This window comes from Homo sapiens (assembly GCF_000001405.40).
Source record: "Homo sapiens chromosome 16 unlocalized genomic scaffold, GRCh38.p14 Primary Assembly HSCHR16_RANDOM_CTG1".
Lineage (NCBI taxonomy): Eukaryota > Metazoa > Chordata > Mammalia > Primates > Hominidae > Homo > Homo sapiens.
The window spans coordinates 1,162,438-1,184,389 of record NT_187383.1 but is presented as its reverse complement, the minus strand read 5'-3'; the positions used below and the strand labels follow the sequence as shown (position 1 = coordinate 1,184,389).

The 21,952-nt window shown below is 43.8% G+C and overlaps 1 pseudogene; it reads right to left on the bottom strand.

Moving 5' to 3' along the window:
• Positions 1 to 18,658, bottom strand: part of LOC102723999 (rho GTPase-activating protein 23-like) — a 42,759-nt pseudogene extending 24,101 nt beyond the window's left edge.
• Between the last annotated feature and the right edge of the window lie 3,294 nt (positions 18,659 to 21,952).

Here is a 21,952-nt window from a genome sequence, read left to right as displayed (position 1 = left end):
CCCTCCCCAAGTACTACCCGAAGCCCCCTTTGCCTCTCACCTGGATCTCCATGGTGGCTCTAACTGGTCTTCTTGCCTCCAGCGTGGCCCCTCCCTAACTCACTCCCAGGGAGCCAAATGAATATTTTAAAGCTGTAACTCCCTTGGCAAGAGCCCCCGAGAGCCTTTGGTTGCCCTTAGGATGAACACTAAGCCCTTTGCTGGCTTGCCTGCATCTTCTTGGGCCTTAACTCTCCTACGGAAATCACCCCGGCCTTGCTCCTTGTTTTCCATGAGCCCCAGCGGCCATCTTCAGGATGGCCTGTCAAGCCAGGGCCACTGTGGGATGGTTTTGCCAGAATTCCAAGCACGACTCGATCAGATCCATCCCACAGCAAAATCCACCTCTCTTGTTAACTTCTTTTACATAAGTTCTTTAAATCCCCCTGCCAGGAAGTTCTTCCTAGCATCTATCCTCCATCCTTCATGCAACAACCTACACTGGTTCTCTCTGGCTCCAGAGGCTGTCAGGGTAGGCCTAGGAGAGGCTGGAGGGTTCTGCTGGAGCCAGCTTCCACCTCATTCCTCCACCCATCTTACCTTCCCCTTCTTGGTGAGAATCTGCTTATAATACAACCAGCCTTCTCTCCTGATATTGCTGAAGGTCGCATCTGAGAGGTCAGAGGTTGAGTGTCGCTTAGAAGGAGCGTCAGCATCTTCAGAGGTGCCCCAGCTATCCAAGGACTGCAGGGAGACAACAGAGGACAATTTAGGGTGGCTCCCACAATGCCAGCATCTCAGGAACCCCATGGACCACTTGTGGCTGCACAGTCCTGATATATATCTGTGCTACACCCCGATGTGCCATGCGACCTCATGGGCATTGCTTGTCCTCTCTGGACCACTTGTGTTGAGGTCATGAGACCTACATAAAGGAGAAGCCAGAAAGGAGGAAAGGCTATGACCTGTCAGCAGACCACACGCCTCACCACGCTAGAGGAGCCAATTCGGAGCCTCCCGTAACTATATAGACTTAGAAGAATTAAGAAAATGGAGGAAGTGATCGTGTCAACGAGGAGTTAAATAAACAGGGGAAGTGGGAACATCAACAAAGGCTGAGGGAGTGGAGCAGGTAGTCATGTCCACGAGGCGTTAAACAGAGGAAGTGACAGTGTCAACAGGACTCCAGCCAGAGGGCGCAAGTCAAGGGAGAGTTAAGTAAGCAGAAGAAGTGATAAGAAATAAGCTAGGTGCCAATATCACCGGGGTGTTCAACCAACCAATGAGACAGAGCGCTTGACATCAAGATGGCTTTTCCAGTCCATCTATAATCAAAAACAGCCAGGGAAAGGTGGGGCGGGCACGGTGGCTCATGCCTGTAATCCCAGCACTTTGGGAGGCTGAGACAGGCAGATCACTTGAGGTCAGGAGTTCAAGATCAGCCTGGCCAACATGGTGAAACCCCATCTCTACTAAAAACACAAAAATTAGTCAGGTGTGGTGGCACATGCCTATAATCCCAGCTACTCGGGAGGCTGAGGCATGAGAATTGGTTGAACCCAGGAGATGGAGGTTGCAGTGAGCTGAGATCGTGCCACTGCACTCCAGCCTGGGCAATAGAGTGAGACTCCATCTCAAAAAAAAAAAGAAAAATCGTGCATGAAAAATATATATGTGATTTTAGAAACAACAATATGTCCAGGTGTGGTGGCTTATGCCTGTAATCCCAGCATTTTGGGGGGCCGAAGCAAGAAGATCACTTGAGGCCAGGTGCGGTGGCTCAGGCCTGTAATCCCAGCACTTTGGGAGGCCGAGGTGGGTGGATCACCTGAGGTCAGGAGTTCATGACCAGTCTGGCCAACATGGTGAAACCCAGTCTCTATTAAAAATACAAAAATTACCCAGGTGTGGTGGCACACGCCTGTAATCCCAGCTGCTCGGGAGGCTGAGGCAGGACAATAGCTTGAACCCAGGAGGTGGACGTTGCAGTGAGCCAAGATCATGCCACTGCACTCCAGACTGGGCAATAGAGTGAGACTCTGTCTCAAAACAAACAAACAGCCAGGGCTATCACAGGCCTGATCCTGCCTCCCCAGGTCCTGAGGCTGGGAACTCCACCTGTCCACCAATCTCAACCCTGTGTCCAGGCCACACCTTTCCAGTGTCCACCCCGACCCCATCCCATGAAGACAAGATGCGATGCAAATACTGACTCAGGGTAGTGAAGGAAACATATGAAGCCCCAAATATAAGCTCGGGGAGCTTCTATTCTAGCTGGGGAGCCAGGCAGGGAGGAAGGGAAACACCAATTGTGCATGAGGCGTGCTGAGGAGGAAAACAGAGTAGCGAAGGGAGGCATGAAATGTCAGGAGTGGAGGCTGGAATTTCAGGGAAGACCTAAAAAGCTGCGAAGACAGTGGAGAAGTGAGTTGTGTGGCTATGGGGGATGAGTCTGGAAAGAGGCAGTCCAGACGGGGGCCCCTGGGTGGGGCTGCATGGTGTCATTCAGGGATGTCGGGGCCCACAGCAGAGGGCCGGTCCCGCGGTGGACACAAGGGTGAGGGGTGCAGGGAGGAGGGGGAAGGCAGGAGCTGGAGCAGGAACCCCCATGCCGAGGCTGTGGCCCCACCTCCCTGACACCCTCTCTCTCCACACCCTCACTCCTGCGCACACACACAGACCTGCAACTCACCCCGTCTGTGAAGAAGCTCCGGAGCAACAGCAGGCTGGGTATGCGGTTTGGCAGGTGCCTGGGAAGCAAGGGTGGAGGGTGAGGGATGTGGGCAGCAAAGCTGGGACCTCACTATCTCGTCACCCACCAAACCCCAAGCCCAGAAGCCTTCCAGCGGGGGAGGCACACTGTCCCATGCATAGAGGACCCCCAAGGCCAAAAGCCCTGCCCCAGAGCAGCTGGCCAGGGTGGCTGTGGCCACCCCACCCCATGTCCAGACAGGGCCTCACCGCAGAACCTGACCCTCGTCACGGAAGGTGTTGAGTCCATCATCGCAGGACTTGGAGCGCTCCGTGCTGATGGCCAGCAGGTAGGAGGAGCGGCGGCCAGCCTTGATGCTGCCTGCAAAGCCGCCTGCATCGGGCCTCAGGGTCAGCGGGGCAGCAGGTCAGGGGCTTCCCAGAGCCCTCCCTTCTAGGCAGGGGAGGTGACTCTCCCAAGGTGCCCCAGGAGAAGCAGAAACCAGAGGAAGAGGCCAGACATCCAGCAGCAGACCCAACAGAGACCCCTGGGACTGGGCAGTGAGGGAAAGGGTGGGGCTGTGGGTGTGGGGAGCGCTCACTGCAGTCCCGCGAGTAATGCCGTCCGAGGGTGAAGGTGAAGGTCGGGGAAGATGGGCTGGTGCCCAGGACAGCGGCTGAGTTCATGGCACTGGAGACCACAGCAAAGGCAGGGACATGCTTGGCTTGGAGGTCAGTGCTGGGGCTGGTGGGCTCATCTATGCATGTGGAAGGAGAAAGGTGTGAAGGCGGCAGACAGCGGAACCTGCTTGCCTCCACCCTAGCCTTGCCAGCCCCCGTGCCACTCACCTCCAGGCTCAGACACATCCCAAAGGGTCCTGCTGGCAACATGCCCACTGTCAAGCGTGACTGGCCCACTGTCCAGACTGTGGCCATGGAATCCTTACCCTCAGGAGTGGGGCTGAGACACCCTCCTTAGACCGGACTCCTGAGGACAGAGCCAATATTCCCCCATCAGACTTGGAGCCTCTTGAGGGCAGGGACGGTGTCTCCCCCATCAGACTGAGGGCACTCAGAGAGAATGAATTATGTCTCCCCTCTCAGACCAAGAGCCTCCTGAGGGCAGGGACAGCGTCTTCCCCATCAGACTGAGAGCTTCCTAAGGGCAAAAGCTCCCCCATCAGCTGGGGCTCCTCAAGGGCAGAGATGACATCTCCCCCTCAAACAGAGTGTGCTCTGGAAGAAGAGACTGCCTCTCCCGGCCACAGCCTAGAGCCTTTCATCAGGGCTCAGTGGTGTGGATGGGGCCCTTGAGACAATCCAGTGAGATCTGGAAGTGAAGAAAAAGATTATAATCTGGGATAAATATAAAAAATTACAATAAAAAATTTATTGCAAATTTACAAATTATGGTTGTTTATATGTACATGGTAAAGGGCAATGTTATGGTTTGTGAATACAATATGAAATAACTAAGATAATTAAGAAATAACTGATATAATTATCATTCATTGTTTCAAATTTTTATCTTTTATTGTGACAACATTTAACATTTACTCTTAGCTCTTTAAAATGACCAATGTACTATTTTAAATGAACCAATAGAAACCAATTTATGTAAACAATTGAAAATCTGGGAAATCAATTATGAATTACTGTAATAATTTAATAATTAAAAGTTAATAATGTAGTTAATTAAGTTTGATTTTTTTCAAACTTTTTTTATCATTTCATTGTAATGTTTAATACAAATGCCTACATATATACGCATTGGTCTGTGTATTTATACATCTTTCTATGGGTATAAATTTTTGTCCCTATAGCTATGTAGTTGCTGATGTCAACAAATGTTAATAAAACTCTGGAAGAATCAGTGCAAACAATTAGGAATGTTTATTTCTTGAAAGTATATACTTAAAAATATAATAATATGTAGAATGTTAATAATTACTAAAATTTAAATATTAATGATAAAATTCATAATAAATATAAGTAACAAAATATCACAGCCTAGAAGACTCCAGAGTCCTGCGAAGATAAACGTGACTTTTCCAGCTGAGGAGAAAGGAAACCTCTCCCGGCACCAGCTCCTGGGACCTGTCCCGTCCTCAGTGGGTCCCGAGCGCCCCCTGGTAGCCCTGCGCGCCCCTGCAGGGAGGTTTGTGTCTGGGCTCACACCGACCTCCCCTCACTGTGTCTGTGGTACAGTAATACACGGCCGTGTCCTCGGTTTTCAGGCTGTTCATTTGCAGATACAGCGTGTTTTTTGAATCAACTCTTGAGATGGTGAATCTGCCTTTCACAGGTGCAGCGTAGTCTGTTGTCCCACCATTAGCTTTGCTTTTAATACGGCCAACCCACTCCAGCCCCTTCCCTGGAGCCTGGCGGACCCAGCTCATCCAGGCGTTACTGCAAGTGAATCCAGAGGCTGCACAGGAGAGTCTAAGGGACCCCCCAGGCTGTACCAAGGCCTCCCGCAGACTCCACCAGCTGCACCTCACACTGGACACCTGCAAACACAGAGACACTAAGGTCAGAAACTGCCACACATATCCACTGTTTCTCTCACTCATGTCCACTCACACTCAATCTCTCTAGCTCTCCATAAATCACCTTTAAAAATAGCAGCAAGGAAAACTCAGCTCAGCACAAACTCCATGGTGATTCCTGTCTGTTCAGTCCTGATCACTGAATGAAAATACTTGGGAATCCCAAGGCTGGGGCTCGTCTCCCAGAGCTGCAGGGTCAGGACTGGGCTGGTTTTCATCAGGAGAGGGAGGGCCCTATTTGTATGTCACCTACTATATAGCAAGCTCTGGGGTGGGACGCCTGAGCAGAGGGCAGTGCCCAGATAAGGTAATGATGCCCTGCAAGAATCTGATGACAATGATGGTGTTTGGAAAACTTGCTGTCTTATTAGGAAATTGTGCTGTGATAAACACTTTGCACTAATCACTCTCTTACATTTTTACATATTTGTGTAAATCATATTTTTAGGGGTCAATGGTTTCTCTATTTACAGATGGCGAAGTAAACCCATACGTGGAGGGGCTTTGTATGTATCTAAGAGCTCATACCTGAGGTTAGTGAGCCCCAGTATCTGGGCCTGTGCTCCTCATCCACTGGCCCTATATTACTCCCTAACCCAACTCCAGGACAGAGCTGGGCATGCCTAGTGTGGCTTGTGAAACCCACTTTCTGTATTGAGAACATGTGTAATTTTGCTGCATTCTAGCATTCACCTAAAAATATGGTGAGAACTAGGGTTCACGAAGATAAATTATTAGGTGTTTCTGAAATTTAGTATTTTTTCTATCTTTATATCACTTACTTCTTGTGCAAGTTTTCATTTGTTTGCTGGTAATAAATTTTATAAATTTCAGTTTACTGATAATAAACTTCACATATTTAAAGTGTACAATTGATAAACCTGATGTAACCATCCTAGTTATCAAGGTGAACCAGAAAATTCTCAAAATTTCCCTCTCATTCTTCCATATTCCTCCTCCTTTCCTCTTCCCTTCTTCTACCATTTCCCCAAATGGTAAATTCTGATCTTCTTTATATTGCTGTAGATTGAATTTAATTTATCAGAATTTATTAAAATGGAATAACATAGTACATATTCTTGTTTGCTTTATTTTCCTGAACATCAATACTTAGATATTTTACCTTGTTGTTATATTGCTTAAGTTCAGTTTTTATTTTCCAGAATTTATATAAATGAAATTATATGGTAAATCTTCTCATTTGCCTGGTTTATTTTACTCAGCAAAAATACTTAGATATTTTACCTTCTTGTTGCATGTATCAGACAATTATTTATTATAAATGTTGTGTAGTATTCCATTGAACAAATTTACCATAATTTGATTTTCTGTTAAGCAGCTTAACAATGTTCAAATTATTTTATTACTCTGGTAGTACTAAAAATCTACTACTCAACTTGAAAATGTACATAAATGAGGAATATATTTTCTTTTTTTCTTACAACTACATCAACAATAACAGATAAACAGTCAAGATGAAATTTTGCAAATTTCTGAATGCTTAGGATAACTGAAGTTAAAAAAAAATCTTAAATTTAACAAGAAGCAAGTTCTTGTAGAGAGTAACAAAGCCAGCATATGAGATTACCTAAGGCAGAGTCTGGCGTATGAAATATAGGCTGTTAAAGATAAAAATACAAATATATATGGGATTGCTTGAAATTGAATATGGTTAGCTTGTTGTAGTTTGAAATTCTAAGGGACCACATACTGAAGAGCTTTTCTATCCTCTTGAATCCCTTTCCCCAAAAAAGGGGCAGTCACAAAATCTTCCTTTCCCAAAGTGTCTGTCTGGGAGAGAACAAGAGCCCCCATTTTTGAAAGGCATTCAGACTCGACTCCCTTATATCCACTACAGAACTAAAAATTACTTTGCAGGGGAACCACCAAAACCAGTACCCTAGGGGCACTGGTGCAACTCCTCAGGAATTGAGATGGGAACAGAGGTCACTGCCACGAAGTTCTGTTGAGACACAACTCTCTTCCTTATGGAATCAGAGCTTTAGTCTGCAGGGCAGGGCAGCAGATCTGGGAGGTGATGACACTGATGGGGAACACTGGAGCTGTGGGAGGGAACACCTGGGGGAAACAGGGGGGCTGTACCCCAGTGGAAGGGACAAGAACACACAGATGAGCATCTCATCTGGAGGAGGGTCAGGAACACTCAGAAGGTCACACCCAGACTTACGGGCACAATGCCTTTCTAGGAATATGGACCGAGATGAGGTCAGAGACTCTTCCTTCAGTGTAAGGGCTTCCACTAATTTATCAATTGTCAGTTACATATAACAGAGGAATGCACCTGTGGGAGCTGAAAGAGATTCTCTGGAGGATGGAACAAGGAGAAGAGACACAGTCACGCAGCAAAGAAGAACAAGATATCACTGGAGCATCTGTAGTCTCTGGTGGACATAGAAGAACAGACTTCAATTAGTTGTTGAAACCTTTATATCAGTCTTTACTAATTTATATGCTAAAATAGTTGGCCTCATCAGTGGAGTCTTATTATCCCCATCAGGGATGAGTGTCCATGTGGGCACGTGGTGCAGTTCTAGTCATGGGGGCAGGGGAGGTGGTCTGTTCAGGTGTTCCTGGTCCTTCAGAGGAGAATTGAAGAACTGTCTCTGCCCCTTTTCCAGCCAATATATAAAATATGTATGTGACCATGGGAATATTGTCACCATGTAACTGCATGATGGGAGTCACCCGAGGGGTGAAGCTGACTTTCTGGATGCATCAGTGTGGAAAATTGAGAAAAGAAACTTCTTGGGCACATGAGCTGTCAAATTATTCAATCCTGGAGCCATTCACTTCCAGAGGCTTCCTGTTTCATCAGGTTGTGATTTTCCTCATTGTGTAGTCAGCCTAGGTTGTCTTTCTTCACTCTCTGCTAAAATAGTCACACATAATATCTAGAAGCATTAAGATTAATAAGTAACTAATTTGAAAATTAGAACAAGTCCCAAGTGAAGTCAAAGTTACTGTGTGGTTGAGAGGAAACATGGCTGGATACTAAGAGTGTGTTCACATCTGTTTTATGTAGATTAGCAACATATTTTGTATATCCCTTAAGTAATACTTTCATTGAGACTCCTGATTTAACACTATTTCCTGATGAATAACACCTAAATCATAAAGGTGGAGGTTATTACCTAATAATTCATATTACTGGTACAAACTTTCACCTAGGGTATATTCCTATACCTGATGTAAAATCAGCCCAGAATGGAGAAGTTAATTCTCTTACTAGAGCTTGTCAATTAACTAAAAACCAGGATTAAATACAGATGTTCTACATTAGTGTGTAATTTTGAAATGTGTTGCAAGCAGAGGAGGTTCTTATGTCTCCTAGAAGCCCCATCAAAATGGACAAAAAAGACACTTTTAAATAAATTCCTACATTATAGAGACCTGACATATGAATTTGAAACCAAATGCCAACAAAGGAGAAAACAAACAAATAAAACAACTAGTATGGAAGCTAGAATAATGTGATGCACCATTACACCAAATATTCAGTCTTAACATGGTTTTTAATATTATGTAAACATGGAAGGTATTGCCATTGTTCATATGATACAGAATCAATGGCACTCACAAGCATCTGAATATGTTGAAAAATGGCACCTTCAAATAAAAATTATGAAAACTTCAATAAAATATTGAACTCTATTCACCAAGGGTTATACCATTAGCACTATGGCATGATGGTTTCCTCCCTCAGCACACATCAGTTATTACCCTATGACTTGGTAGCTGGAAGATTCACACTTTCGAGATTTTACCCTCATCACATACCTTTGTCCTATTGCCTGCATGTGTTAACAAAATATTGAAAATGATTTTTGTGTTATACACACTCCAATGACTAAAAATTTAAAGTTGCCTTTTTACCACATCTTTTAACAGCATTTTGTGATATCCGACCATGAAGTTATGTCTATTGTGTGTCTTTTATCACACAATGTGAATCTAGTTAGGAATCGCAGGAGCTTCCTCATTTGACACCAGTGGGTGTTTCACACTGTGCAATCCCCTTCCTGTGAGTGGGAAGCCTCACTCTGACCCACCACGAAACCATCACAAAAGCCCTGAGCCAGTCTGCTTTCTGGCTCTATCGAGCCATTTTGGGTGTTCCTTAGAGACCAGCACTAATCTCAACAGACCCCTCAAGAGGTAATTAACTTTTCCATATTCACATCGAGGGAGTATGCAGCACCCACAGATGTGACATCCACATGACATTTTAGTTGAGATCCCTTCGCCTTTTTGAGGTGTCAACTAGAACTGACGCTGTGAGCTTGTTGTCATGGCTGCTAAACACAGGACCCACCTGTTCCCTGAACCAACTCCAGGACAGAGCTGGACATGCCTGGTGTGGTTTGATAAACCCCCATTTTTAATAAAATCATGACATTATTTTGCTGTATTCTAGTGTTTCCCTAAAAATACAGGTAGACCCAGCGTGTATTCATGTGTATATTCAGGAGTCACTGATTTCTCATAGATATTTAATGGAATATGTAATCCTTTCTTTAAATTATACTTTACGTTCTGGGGTACATGTGCAGAATGTGCAGTTTTGTTACATAGGTATACACACGCCATGGTTGTTTGCTGCACCCATCAACCTGCCATCTACCTTAGGTATTTCTCCTAATGCTATCCCTCCCCTAGCCCTTTACCTCCTGACAGGCCTCAGTGTGTGATATTCCCCTCCCTGTGTCCATGTGGTCTCATGGTTCAACTACCACTTACGAGTGAAAACAGCGGTGTCTGGTTTTCTGTTCTTCTGTTAGTTTGCTGAGAATGATGGTTGTCAGCTTCATCCATGTCCCTGCAAAGGACATGAACTCATCCTTTTTTATGGCTGCATAGTATTCCATGGTGTATATGTGCCACATTTTCTTTATCCAGTCTATTATTGATGGACATTTGGGTTGGTTTCAAGTCTTTGCTATTGGGAATAGTGCCGCAATAAACACACGGGTGCATTTGTCTTTGTAGTAGAATGACTTATAATCCTTGGGGTACATACCAAGTAATGGGATTGCTGGGTCAAATGGTATTTCTAGTTCTAGATCCTTGAGGAATCGCCACACTGTCTTCCACAATGGATGAACTTATTTACACTCCCACCAACAGTGTAAAAATGTTACTATCTCTCCACATCCTCTCCAGCATCTGTTGTTTCCTATTTAATTGTCACCATTCTAACTGGTGTGAGATGGTATCTCACTGTGGTTTTGATTTGCGTTTCTCTAGTGACCAGTGATGAGGAGGATTTTTTCATGTTTTTTTGGCTGCATAAATGTCTTCTTTCGAGAAATGTCTGTTCGTATCCTTCACCTACTTTTTGATGGGTTTTTTTTTCTTGTAAATTTGTTGTAGATTCTGGATATTAGCCCTTTGTCAGATGGATAGATTGCAAAAATTTTCTCCCATTCTGTAGGTTGCCTGTTCACTCTGATGATAGTTTCTTTTGCTGTGCAGAAGCACTTTACTTTAATTATATCTCATTTATCAGTATTAGCTTTTGTTGCCATTGCTTTTGGTGTTTTAGACTTGAAGTCTTTGCCCATGCCTATGTCCTGAATGGTATTGCCTAGATTTTCTTCTGGGATTTTTATGGTTTCAGGTCTTGATAAGTCTTTCATCCATCTTGAGTTAATTTTTGTATAAGCTGTAAGGAAGGGGGTCCAGTTTCAGTTTTCTGTATATGGCTTGCCAGTTTTCCCAACACCACTTATTAAATAGTTCCGGAATTCTTTCCCCATTGTTTGTTTGTGTCAAGATTGTCAAAGATCAGATGGTTGTAGATGTGTGGTGTTATTTGGGAGGCCTCTGCTCTGTTCCATTGGTGTATATATCTGTTTTGGTACCAGTACCATGCTGTTTCAGTTACTGTAGCCTTGTAGTATAGTTTGAAGTCAGGTAGCATGATGCCTCCAGCTTTGTTTTTTTTTTTTTTTTTGCTTAGGAATGTCATGGCTATGCAGGATTTTTTTTGGTTCCATATGAACTTTAAAATATTTTTTTCCAATTCTGTGAAGAAAGTCATTGGTAGTTTGATGGGGACAGCATTCAATCTATAAATTGCTTTGGGCAGTATGGCCATTTTCATGATATTTATTCTTCTTATTCATGAGCATGGAATGTTTTTCCATTTGTTTCGGTCCTCTCTTATTTCCTTGAGCAGTGGTTTGTAGTTCTCCCTGAAGAGATCCTTCACATCCCTTGTAAGTTGTATTCCTAGGTATTTTATTTTCTTTGTAGCAATTTTGAGTGGGAGTTCACTCATGATTTGGCTCTCTGTTTTTCTGTTATTGGGTTATAGAAATGCTTGTGATTTTTGCACATTGATTTTGTATCCTGAGACTTTGCTGAAGTTGCTTATCAGCTTAAGGAGATTTTGGGCTGAGACGATGGGGTTTTCTAAATATACAATCGTGTCATCTGCACACAGAGACAATCTGACTTCCTCTTTTCCTATTTTTATACAATTTATTTCTTTCTCTTGCCTGATTACCCTGGCCAGATCTCTCAATACTATGTTGAATTGGAGTGGTGAGAGAGGCATCGTTGTCTTGTGCTGGTTTTCAAAGTAAATGCTTCCAGTTTTTGCCCATTCCATATGATATTGGCTGTGGGTTTGCCATAAATAGCTTTTATTATTTTGAGATACATTCCATGGATACCTAGAGTATTGAGTTTTTAGCATGAAGTGGTGTTGAATTTTGTTGAAGTCCTTTTCTGCATCTATTGAGATAATCATGTGGTTTCTGTCATTGGTTCTGTTTATGTGATGGATTACACTTATTGAATTGCATATGTTGAAACAGCCTTGCATCCCAGGGATGAAGCCGACTTGATCGTGGTGGATAAGCTTTTTGATGTGCTGCTGGATTCGGTTTGCCAGTATTTTATTGAGAATTGGTGCATTGATGTTCATCAGGGATATTGGCCTGAACTTTTTTTTTTTTGTTATGTCTCTGCCAGGTTTTGGTATCAGGATGATGCTGGCTTCATAAAAAGAGTTAGAGAGGAGTCCCTCTTTTTCTATTGTTTGAAATAGTTTCAGAAGGAATGGTAACAGTTCCTCTTTGTACCTCTGGTAGAATTTGGCTGTGAATCCATCTGGTCCTGGACTTTTTTTGGTTGGTATGCTATTAATTACTGCCTCAATTTCAGAATTTATTATTGTTCTATTCAGGGATTCGACTTCTTCCTGCTTTAGACTTGGGACGGTGTATGTGTCCAGGCATTTATCCACTTCTTCTAGATTTTCTAGTGTATTTGCATAGAGGTTTTTATAGTATTCTCTGATGGTAGTTTGTATTTCGGTGGGATCAGTAGTGATATCCCCTATATTACATTTTATTGCATCTATTTGATTCTTCTCTCTTTTCTTCTTTATTAATATGGCTAACTTTCTATCTATTTTGTTGATGTGCTGTATTCAGGAGACCCATCTCATGTGCAAAGACACACATAGGCTCAAAATAAAGGGATGGAGGAATATTTACCAAGCAAATGGAAAGCAAAAAAAAAAAAAAAAGAAAGAAAAAAAACAAAAGCAGGAGTTGCAATCCTAATCTCTCATAAAACATTTTAAACCAAAAAAGATCAAAAGAGACAAAGAAAGGCACTGCATAATGGTAAAGGGATCAATGCAGCAAGAAGAGCTAAATATCCTAAATATATATGCACCAAATACAGGAGCACCCAGATTCATAAAGGAAGTCCTTAGAGACCTACAAAGAGACTTAGACTCCCATACAACAAGAGTGGGAGACTTTAACTCCCCGCTGTCAATATTAGACAGATCAACGAGACAGAAAATTAACAAGGATATTTAGGACTTGAAGTCAGCTCTGGACCAAGCAGACCTAATAGATATCTACAGAACTCTCCACCCCAAGTCAACAGAATATACATTCTTCTCAGCACCTCATTGCACATATTCTAAAACTGACCACATAATTGGAAGTAATACACTCCTCGCCAAATGCAAAAGAACAGAAATCATAACAAACAGTCTCTCAGACCACAGTGCAATAATCAAATTAGAACTCAGGATGAAGAAATTCACTCAAAACTGCACAACTACATGGAAACTGAAAAACCTGTTCCTGAGTGTCTACTGGGTAAATAAAGAAATGAAGGCAGAAATAAAGATGATCTTTGAAACCAATGAGAACAAAGACACAACATATGAGAATCTCCGGGACACATTTAAAGCAGTGTGTAGAGGGAAATTTATAGCACTAGATGCCTACAAGAGAAAGCAGGAAAGATCTAAAACTGACACCCTAACATCAAAATTAAAAGAACTAGAGAAGCAAGAGCAAATTCAAAAGCTAGCAGAAGAGAAGAAATAACTAAGATCAGAGCAGAACTGAAGGAGATAAAGACATGAAAATCAACTCCAAAAAATCAATGATCCAGGAGCTGGTTTTATGAATCTTTAATTCTGTGTTGAGAAATTTAAAATTTCTTTAGTTTGATGATTGAAGTCCTTATGCCATCGTTCTGAGATTTTCTTTTTTATTTCTCATATATTTTATCCATCTCTAAATTCTTTTCTACCAAATTATATATGTTTCAATTTGTAGTATTTTAATAAGTTGAAATTAGAAAGTAACTATCTTCCCTTAATGTGTACCATTTAACAAATAATGACATAACCATAACTTTTCTCAAAACAGAAAAAATTATCCTCAAAATTTCCTCTTGTTGTCCTGTAATTTCCACTTCCTACACCTTCCCTTCTCATACCATGACCACGGCCAACTACTGGTTTTCATTATGTAACTTTAGATTAGTTTTCATTTTATAGAATTTATAAAAGTGGAACTGTATGTATGTACTTGTATTTCTTTGGTTTATGTTACTCGTCATAAGTACTTGTGAATTTACCCTTGTTGCTCATTTCCAGCAGTACTTGTTTGAACAGTGGGTATTATTCAAGTGAATGAATTTAGAACAAAGTGTTTACTGCTTAACCTGCTGATCAATATTTGGATTGCTTTCAGTATCTGGGTATTGTAAAGAAAGGTGCTACTCAGCTTAGAGAACTACACAGTTGAGAAAGACAATGTTCTTATTCCTACATCAACGTGAACAGCAGTTAAACTGAAAAAGCTGCACTTCAATACATTTTCTTCAACACATCAGGTAATTAAAGTTGTAGAACTCTTTGTGTGTGTCAGTTTGTGTGTGAGAGAGGAGGGAGGAAGGGACACAGAACAAGTGAGAGATCCTACATAACTGACCATAATTTATGAGGTGCTCAAATATATACAAGGACTTAGTCCTGAAGGACAAGGTCCACATTAGATGGAGAGGACAACTTGGTGCACCTACGTATGGCTATATATTTATATAAATATCATTGTCTAATAATACAATAATATACATTAGAATACATATGGTGGAGAGTAAAATATGTCAGTGATGAAAAACCCCACCTCCAGCACCTTTTTTCCCCTCTTGCACCTGCCTTAATGTGTCCTGAGCGCCCCTTGGTGACCTGAGCACCCCCTGGTGTTCTGAGCTTCCCTGCAGGGAGGTTTGTGTCTGGCCCCACAATGACTTCCCCCTCTGTGTCTTTTGCATAAAAATCCATGGTGGTGTACTCATTGCACATGTAGCTCAGCTGTAGGAAAAACTGCTTTCTGAATGTGTATCTGGAGGTGGTGACTGGACTCTTGAGAAGCGGGTGGTACTGTGTGCTTCCTCATGACCTACACACCTGACCCACTTCAGCTCCTTCCCTGGGGGCTGGCAGATCCAGCTCCAGGAGGAAGTACTGGTTATGATCGGAAATCCAGAGGCGGCACAGGTGAAGGAGAGGGTCTCTGAGGGCTTTACTAGAACATGACTGCACTGAAAAACACAATTTTTGTCATACGCAGCATCTGAATGACATTTTGATGAGAACGATCCCAGGCTAGAAGCATCAATAATAAGGTTGACATCAGTGTAAGGTTGGACAGGCAGTTGCTGTGCAGATATTTTCACAGAAGTAATTATTTTATTGTTGTGGTTGTCTTTGTGCAAGGTTGTGGCTTTTCTGAGTGTTATAAAACTAGCTCTTGTTGTTAGGGATATAAGTAATTATTTTGTTGTTGTGGTTGCCTTTGTGCACAGTTGTGGCTATTCTGAGTGTTATAAAGCTAGCTGTTGTTCTTAGGGATATAAGTAATTCTTTTATTGTTGTGGTTGCCTTTGTTCAATTTGTGGTTTTTTGGAGTGTTATAAAACTAGGTCTTGTTCTCAGGGGTATGTGCATGAGAAGCTTCCATAAATGGCCTTCCCCAGCTCCATGTGTCAGGATTTGAACACAAGGGACTCCAGTTGGATTCCGACAACTTTTACAGGCTCTTCTAACACTACCGGTAAAGAAGGTGACTCTGTGACAGTTTACACAGCACAGGATCAATTCCACATCCTCACCCCACTTTGACCAAAGAAGCTTATGCCCTCATTCCTAATGGCCACATGCATTCCCAGATGCGTCTCCAGAAAACAGAGTGGAGTGTGCTTAATAATGAGAGAGAAGAAAGTCTCAGCAGCCTCTCCCAATGGCTGCAGGAGTCACAGCCTGAGCCCCACCTAAGCTCCAGGGAAAGGGCTTGAGCCCCAGGATTTAGACCACAGGGACAACATCATTTTTTCCAGAAAGCAGGAAAAGCAAATGGAAAAGCAAGAACCACTAAAAATGAAAGTCAGAAAGCACCAGATCAGTGCTGATACTCATTTGAATATTTTCAGGAGAAATGTCATACATAAAACCTGTGAGGTCCTACATGACACTGAACCTGGTCCAGCCTCTCTCTTGGCTGTAATCAAAATCCCTAAAAGCCATTCTAGTCAGGGAATCCCATTGAAGTTCCTGTCCTGAGTCTGACTGGAGAAGACTCACCGGGCACCCCTGAGCTTCCTCACGACTCTGATGCTGGTGCGCATGGTTGAGGAGTTCTCATTCCTGTAGGTGGCAATGTACATACTGTGCATGTGAGAATGAGTCCTCATATTACAATGATTAAAAAAAATATGTAGAGATGACATTGGTGGGTACAGAAATCTAAAATTAAAGAGTTTCCCTAGAGAAACTGTCAGAAGCAGAGGAAGTCCCAAATCCTGACAGGAAACAAACCCCAGCCTCCATGTGAACCTGCTCTGGGGTTGACTCTGATGAATGGGTCCTGAGCGTCCCCTGCAGTGATTTCCCCCAACGTTCCTGTAGGAGGTTTGTGTCTGGGCTCACACTTGTGTCTCCTCACAGGATTTCTCACACAGTAATACACGGCCATGTCTTTGGCTCTCTGTCTGTTCTTTTGCAGATACAGGGACTTGCTGGAATTGTCTCTGGAGATGGTAAATTGGCCCTTCACGGAGTCCACATAGTGCGTCTTACCGCCATTCCAACTAATACCCGAGACCCACTCCAGCCCCTTTCCTGGAGCCTAGAGGACCCAGTTCATGTCACTGTTACTGAAGGTGAATCCAGAGGCTGCACAGGAGTGTCTCAGGGACCCCCCAGGCTGGACCAAGCCTCCCCCAGACTCCACCAGCTGCACCTCACACTGCACACCTGCAAACACAGAGACATCCTGGTCAGAAACTGCCACACATAGCCACTGTTCTGTCACTCATGTCCCCTCACACTCAATATCCTTAGTTCTCCATGAATTACCTTTTAAAATAGCAGCAAGAAAAACCCAGCTCAGCCAAAATTCCATGGTAATTTGTTTATTGCTGTTGACCCAATAGAAACACCTGAGAATCCCAGGGCTGGGGCTTCTCTCCCACGGCTGCAGGGTCAGGGCTGGGCTGCTTTTCATCAGAAAAGGGAGGGTCCTATTTGCATGTCTCCTATTACATAGCAAGCTCTGAAGTGGGACACCTGAGGAGAGGACTGAGCCCAGAGTAATGAGAGTGAAACAGCAAACCTGAACAACTACAGATAAAAAAAAAAAAAACCTCAGCATATCAGAGTTGATATCATGGAGCAAACATGAACTGAAAATTTGAGGATAGGGGTTGATAGGGAGACCCAGGATGCATATATGAGTGTACCTGGGGCAGGTGTCACTCCATGGCATTTAAGCTAACCTGGAAACATTTAGAGTTCCTTGAGGATGTGCGCATTAACAGTGTTGGAGTGTGAAGCTTCTAGAGCCATATATTGTTGCAGGCTTTCCTTACAAAGTTTGAAATATCCCACATGACCTCACACTCACACAGTGTGACCTTGCACATCCCCAAGGTCACCTCACATGTGCCCTGAGTCACCTCACACATCCCCAATGTCACCTTACACATCCCGCAGGTCACCTCAAACATTTCCCAGGTAACCTCACACAAGTCCCAATTCACCTCACACATCCCACAGGTAACCTCACACTCACCCAAGGTCACCTCGCACATCCTCCATGTCACCTCAGATGCGCCTTAGGTGACCTCACATGTGCTCAGGTCACTTCACACATCAGGCAGGTCACCTCACATATTCCCCATGTTACCTCACACACACTCCTGCTAAGCTCACACATCCCCCACGTCACCTCAAACGCACCCACATCACCTCACACATTCCCCAGGTCACCTCACATGTCCCACAGGTCACCTCACACATTCCCCAGGTCACTTCACATGTCCCACAGGTCACCTCACACGTTCCCCAGGTCACCTCACACGTCCCCCATGTCACCTCAGATGCGCCTTAGGTGACCTTACATGTGCTCAGGTCACCTCACACATCAGGCAGGTCACCTCACATATTCCTCATGTCACCTCACACACACTCCTGCTAAGCTCACACATCCCCCACGTCACCTCAAACGCACCCACATCACCTCACACATTCCCCAGGTCACCTCACATGTCCCACAGGTCACCTCACACATCCCCCAGGTCACCTCACACGTTCCCCAGGTCACCTCACACATTCCCCAGGTCACCTCACACGTCCCCCAGGTCACCTCACACATCCCCCAGGTCACCTCACACGTTCCCCAGGTCACCTCACACATTCCCCACGTCACGTCACACGTCCCCCAGGTCACCTCACACATTCCCCACGTCACCTCACACATCTGCCACGTCACCTCACATGTCCCACAGGTCACCTCACACATCCCCCAGGTCACCTCACACGTCCCCCAGGTCACTTCACACATCCCCCAGGTCACCTCACATGTCCCACAGGTCACCTCACACGTCCCCCAGGTCACCTCACACATTCGCCACGTCACCTCACACATACCCCAGGTCACCTCACACATTCCCCACGTCACCTCACACATCCGCCACGTCACCTCACATGTCCCACAGGTCTCCTCACACGTACCCCAGGTCACCTCACACATCCCCCAGGTCACCTCACACGTCCCACAGGTCACCTCACACGTCCCACAGGTCACCTCACACATTCCCACAGGTCACCTCACACATCCCCCAGGTCACCTCACACGTCCCACAGGTCACCTCACACGTCCCCCAGGTCACCTCACACATGCCTTAGGTCACATCATACATGCCCAAGTCACCTCATGAGTTCCCCATGTCACCTCATGCATGTCCGGGTAACCTCACACGCACCCAAGCCACCACACATGCACCCTGGGTCACCTCACATGAGCCCAAGTTCACCTCACACATACCCCCAGGTAACCTTACACATCCCCCAGGTCACCTCACACATCCCCCAGGTCACCTCACTGTCACGTGACCAGGTCACCTCACCTTCATACAGGTAGGTCGCTTCACACATGCTATGATACATGTATACATCATGGAATTGTTAATCAAGCTATTTAAAATATCCATCACCTCACAAATGTGTAATTTCTTTTTTTTTTTTTTTTTTGAGACTGAGTCTCACTCTGTCGCCGAGGCTGGAGTGCAGTGGTGCGATCTCGGTCACTGCAGCCTTTGCTTCCCAGGTTCAAACAATTTTCCTGCCTCAGCCTCCCGAGTAGCTGGGATTACAGGCGCCCAACACCACGCCTGGCTAACTTTTGTGTGTTTAGTGGAGACAGGGTTTCACCATTTTGGCCAGTCTGGTCTTGAACTCCTGACCTTGTGATCCACCCACCTCGGCCTCCAAAAGTGCTGGGATTAGAGGTGTGAGCCCCCACTCCCGACCTGTATAATTTCTTAGTGGGAAAAATTTTAACATTTACATTTTTAGCCATTTTGAAATATACAATGCATTCATAGCCATATTTTCCATCTTGTGCATTAGAACACTGCAACTTACTCCTTCTGTCTAACTGGAACATTTTACACTTTGACCAAAATCTCTCCTTTTCCAGTCCACCCCTCCAGCCCCTGGTAACCAACATTCTATTCTACTTCTGTGAGTCTACCATTTTAATGCACTACAGTGAAATCATGAATTACTTGTCTTCTGCTCCTGCTTGTTGCATTTCACATGTGGTCCTCTAGAGTCATGATTGCTGTCGCATTTCAAAACCAATCATGCCTGTTCAAGAGTCTGCCAAAGTCTTAACTCATTTGAGCCTTAACTCAAAAGTCCACAGTCCAAGGTCTCATTTGAGATGAGGCAAGTCTCTTCCATATGAGCCTGTAAAATAAAAACGAAGTCAGTTACTTCCTAGAAAGAATGGGAGTTCAGGCATTGTGTAAATACAGCCATTCCAAATGGAGAAATTGGTCCAAACTACAGGCCCCATGCAAGTCTGAAATCCAGCTGAGCAGTCAAATCTTCATGTTCCAAAATAATCTTCTTTGACTCCATGTCTCAAATCTAGGTTACCTGATGTAACAGGTGGGTTCCCATGGTCTTGGGCAGTTCTGCCCCTGTGGCAGAACTTTTTTAAAATTTTTCAAATGAAAAGTTTTAAAAAGCTTTTGCAGGGCACAGTCTCCCTCCTGGCTGCTTTCACGAGCTGGCATTGAGTGTATGTGGTTTTTCCAGAAATATAGTGCAAGCTGTCAGTGGATCTACCATTCTGGGTTCTGGAGGGCAGTGGCTTTCTTCTTACAGCTCCACTAGGTGGTACACCAGTAGAAACTCTGTGTGGGATTTCTGACCCCACATTTCCCTGTCACACTGGGACTAAAGGCACTTGCCACAATACCTGGCTATTTTTTGTATTTTTAGTAGAGACGGGGTTTTACCATGTTGGCCAGGCTGGTCTTGAACTCTTGACCTCAGGTGATCTGCCTGCCTATGACTCCCAAAGTGCTGGGATTACAGGCCTGAGCCACCATGCCTGGCCAAGATTAATATGTCATTTAATGATGTATTTGAAAACTTCATGGTTCTACAAATACACATACATACACAACAGCCCAGCAAAGACACATACATATGCCCATGCAAAAGTGAACGTATATCTAAACACCAAAATAGCACACCTATTTGTTTCATATTTTTTAATTACTTAATTGAATTTAAACTGTGTTTGCAGTTTGAGGTGGTAGTAGAAAATAATGCTCTTCTACGTGTATGTCTGCCTATTCCAATACTAAAAAGACAAATATATTTAAATACATGTTTTGTTAAAGCTGAATGTAAATGCTGTTCTTGCCAAATATGTCACTCAAATGTGCAATGGTATTAACTTTAAATATCAGTCTGTTTTTAATAAATTGAATAACTAATAAGACAAACATTGTATTACATTATTTGTTAAATTTAGATTGTAGTTTTCAAACCAGGAAAGATAAAATTGTTTCATTTGAAAAATTAAAAAAAAAACTTTTTTGGCATGAATATTCAATACAAACTCTGGTATTTATTTGTCAATATTCCTTTATGATAGAGAACATCCAGGATAATGAAACTGAACACAGCCCATGATTTTCAGGGCTCACTCACAATGGCATCTTCCTAGAGGATGGTCTCAGAGGGTCCAAGCACATGGGGATTTGGACTTCATCATCAAAACACTAGTGAGCCCCAGGGCTGAACACACAGAGGGCAGCAGGAGCTGCAGAGCCCACTCTGTGGTACTTAGGGAAATGAGGGGATGGTCTGCAGGACCTGGAAAAGGGTGAGTAGGGCAGAGTCTGCAGGTAGATGAGCATATTCTAAGGAGAGCCATTATCCTCTAAACTTGGTTGGCTTCAATGATTATGAAGACAAGGGAACTGATTCACCAGACTTGGAGGTCAGAAAGTAAAGTGACTTTCTTTTTCCTTCATGGAGACTGAGGAAGGTAAAATACTTTCAAAGAAAAAGGGAAGATGGAGAAACAGTCTGAAAAACAGGACACCTGAAGCCAACCAAAATGGAGAACAAGAGCATTTAAAGTCGTGTTTAATTTCCAAAAACAGCAGATGAAAGAAAAAGAAACAAAATGCCATGTATACGCTGAGTTAATGTTAAAAAACATGTACAATTGTTTGACTATTACAGCACAAAAATACAAAACTCTAATCATTGAAACAGTTTATATTGAGGATATACATTTTCTTTAAATAGGGTCTCACTCTGTCAACGAGACTGGAGTGCAGTGGCACAATCACAGCTCACTGCATCATTAACCTCCCAGGCTTAAGGGATCCTCCCACCTCAGCCTTTCAAGTAGCTGCTACCACAGGTGGAACCACACCCAGGTATTTATTATTATTATTTTTGTATAGAAAAGACCTCACTGTGCTGCCAGGGTGTTCTAAAAGTCCTGAGCTCAAGTGATCTGCCTGCCTTAGCCTCCCAAAGTTCTGGGATTACAGGTGTGATTTTTATAATTTTA